This window comes from Homo sapiens, chromosome 5, assembly GCF_000001405.40.
Source record: "Homo sapiens chromosome 5, GRCh38.p14 Primary Assembly".
Lineage (NCBI taxonomy): Eukaryota > Metazoa > Chordata > Mammalia > Primates > Hominidae > Homo > Homo sapiens.
The window spans coordinates 109989970-109993534 of NC_000005.10; the positions used below are offsets into that span (position 1 = coordinate 109989970).

A 3565-nucleotide genomic window follows, 5' to 3' on the forward strand; every position below is an offset into this window, starting at 1 on the left:
TTTAATGCTGATCTCACCCAGGGAAGTCAGGTAATATAGGCAAATAGGTGAATTTACTTTTTGCAGCTGCTGCCTTTTCTTCCAATGCGTTTCCTCCATATATTAGGTTTGCAGTTTTTGCCATTGAAAGTAATTGCAAAAACTGCAATTACCTTTGCACCAAACTAATAGTAGCACAGGCTCCACTCTGCCTGCACTTCTGTCATCAAAATGTGCTCCTCAAAATGCTACCATCAGTCATTCTTATTCTCTATCAATTCAACTACATTTACCAGGAATGTATTTGTATTTTAAGAAGCTTCATTTTGCATAGTGGTAAAAATACTTTTCTTTATTAACAAGAAATTAAATTTCAGTGGGGCAGACTAGCTTATGGGTTGATTTGCTTAGAGTCGGATTTGTGTTAGGGATAATAACGAATGCTAACATTTGAAGAACACTTAATTCCATGTTAGGCAAGAGCTAATGCTTTATATGTATTATTTCACTTGATAACTAACAACAGCCCTTAGATACAGGTATTATTATGATATTTTACAAGAGAGAACATGAGACTTAGCAATGTTAAGTGATTTTCCCCAGGTTGCTTGGTTAATAATTGATGGGGCTAGAATTTTGATCCAGGACTGTTTGACTCCAAAGTCCTGTCTTGTTAGCCATTGTCTCCTTTCATGCTTAACACTGAGATCTCAAAGACAGGTAGGTATGCTGTACCTGGAAATTAGCGAGTTTCCAGTAAAGACAGAGAGTTACTGTAGATTAGGTAGAAGAAGTATAAAGTATTTTAAGTATTATTTAAAAGAGGTTTGATAAGTGCCCCATCCTAAAATATTTCCAGCTCCAAACTTTCATCTTCCCAAGGAATAGTTTATAATTAGATTCTTTGGAGACAGGCTTTCAGATTTCAATAGTTCATATTTCCAGGTGTGTGTGTGTGTGTGTGTGTGTGTGTGGTGTGTGTGTGTGTTTATGATAGAGCCCATCATACCTTTAGCCATTGCCAGTTAGCTAGCTTCCATTTTTAGCAGGGATTAATTTATGAATCAGTGCTGAAGAACTGGAACACAGATGGACTCACTTTCTGAACAAAAAAGAGGTGGAGGGTGGAGGCTATGCAAAGACCAGGGTAAAGCGCATTCTACAGGAGGCAAATCTCTTCCTTATTAACTTGTCTATTGACACAGATAGTTGCAAAAGTAGTCCAAGGGCTGAAAGAAATAGGAAATGTCTCTTGATATGACAAAGAGAAGGGTTGCCTGCAATGTAGTGATGAAAATAGAAGTAGTTAGTGCTGTGGTTTATGCCGAAGCAGAGAGGCAGCTTAGAGAAGGCAGTGTATTATACTTTCTAATTATATATTACTGTATTGTCAGCCTTTTCCCATTTTTGGCTTGCTTCTTTCATCTCCCAAACAGACTCAGTTCTCCATCCTAAAGGAAATTCCATCATTTTCAAACTCTTAAGAGACTGTATTCTCCTCCCACTTTCTTATGTCTCCTTAGACTTTTCTTCCCCTTGTAATTGGGCTCTGCCTCCACCATCCCACTAGGACTGATTTCACTGAGAACATTAAGAAAGAAAGCAAAACAGAACTTCTAATTGTCCTGTTATTCTAATTGTCCACACTGTTTGCAGCATCTAGCTCTGAAAATTATATCCTCCTCCTTGAAATTGTCTTCTCCCTCATACTGTTTTATTATTGTCTTCATTCTGTTTTTTGTTTATGATATTCATGTATTTATCCAATCAATGTATTCATTTGCTAGGGCTGCTGTAACAAAGTCCTACAATCTGGGTGGCTTAAGCAACAGAAATGTTGTCTCATAGTTTTGGAGGCTGAAAGTGATTGGTTCCTTGTGAGGGCTGGGAGGGAAGCATCTGCTCCAGGCCTTCCTCCTTGGCTTATAGATGGCTATCATTTCCCTGTGTCTTTTCACGTAGTTATTCCTCTATGTATGTCTGTCTATGTGTTCAAATTTCCTCTTAATCATAAGGACACTAGTCATATTGGATTGAGGTCTACCCCAATTAGCTCACTTTAATTTGATTACCTTTGGGAAGACCCTATCTCTAAATAAGATCACATCCCAGGATACTGGGGACTGGGACTCCAGCATATCTTTTATGTGAGGGGCCATAATTCAATCCATAACATTCAACAAACTTTTGTTGGTTGTCTGTGATTTTCTAGACATTGAGCTAGTTGGGAGTTTGTATATATAGGGACCCAGCAGCTACTTTTAAACAGACTCAAATTTAGTGGGGAGACAAACCCAGGCCTGAGGTTGTGTCCTGGTCTTGACTGGATGGTGAATGAACACAACGTGCCGGTCGTCTCCCCAGCCCTACCCTAGAGATTCCTCAGTAGTAAAAGAATTTGTAGGAGTCTAAAAAAATGAAAGCAAAGACCGTAAGAAACCCTGGGAAGAGCGAGTACAATTGTGACATCACGCATAGGAAGTGACAAGCAGAGGCAGGGAATGGCCAGCTGCCACAGTTGGGGAGAATCTTCACTGCGCACTTTGCTCTCTTACATTGCCAGGAATGGCTAATGGGCACTTGTCTTTTTTCTCTCCATAGTGGAATAGGAAAACATTCCAGCCCCAGCCCTGTTTGTAGGGGTAGGAGATCTTGAGATAATTCTAGGAGTAGGGTACGGTTGGGAGAAGACAGGCACAAGGATAGACTGATTGGCCCACTTTCAGGCATTCCTTCCCTTTAGGTTTCCTAGGTGCAGTGTCACTTGCTAAGCAGAAAGCAGTCGGGGGTGATCAAACCCAGATTGTGAACACATTACCAACAACAATAGCTGATGCCTCCAGGGTAAGGAAGAGTCACAGGCAAAGTAATCAGAGAGTGAACAGCACAGCCAAGAAAAAAGGGAAATCATGAACACCCTGAACAGAATCAGAATGAATGGAACAGAGAGATCAAAAATTAGAAATATACACAATAATTATCTTCCAGTTGATAAGAGAAGGTACTGTAATGTGAAGCAGAAACAGGCATGTCTGCTTGTAGAGGGAACCTGAGTGTGCATCATTTTGGGAATGGATGATTTAAATATGATAGATCTAACTATAGAATACCATATGGGAAGAGAAAACCACAAATTTGATATAAAGCATGAAATAATTCTTATTTTTTAAAAAAAATTAAGTGGAAAAAGTAGGAAATAAAATGAAATTTTAATACAATAATATTTATCTAAAGGTTTACATATTTATAAAACAAGACCTGCAGGGCACATTGGCTCATGCCTGTAATCCTGAAGTGTTAACACTTTAACCCTAACACTTTAATCCAAACACTTTGGGAGGCCGAGGTGGGTGGATTGCTTGAGGCTGGAGTTTGACACCAGGCTGGATAACATGGTGAAACTCCATCTCTACTAAAAAAAAAAAAAAAAAAAAAAAATTAGCCAGGCATGTAGTCCCAGCTACTAGGGAGGCTGAGGTGGGAGGATCACTTGAGCCTGGGACCCTGGGAAGTTGAGGCTGCAGTGAGCTTTGTGCCACTGCACTCCAGTCTGAGTGACAGAGTGAGCCTGTATTTCAAAAACGAC

The 3565-nt window shown here is 39.8% G+C and overlaps 2 annotated features.

Moving 5' to 3' along the window:
• Positions 479-773: an enhancer, noted in NCBI's record as "tiled region #2532; HepG2 Activating DNase matched - State 5:Enh". NCBI's record gives its function as "activates a minimal TATA promoter and a strong SV40 promoter by Sharpr-MPRA in HepG2 cells {active_cell/tissue: HepG2}" and the evidence as "EXISTENCE:reporter gene assay evidence [ECO:0000049][PMID:27701403]".
• Positions 2508-3042: an enhancer, noted in NCBI's record as "NANOG hESC enhancer chr5:109328178-109328712 (GRCh37/hg19 assembly coordinates)". NCBI's record gives its function as "activates a minimal SCP1, AML or CMV promoter by ChIP-STARR-seq in naive H9 embryonic stem cells {active_cell/tissue: H9 hESC(naive)}" and the evidence as "EXISTENCE:reporter gene assay evidence [ECO:0000049][PMID:30033119]".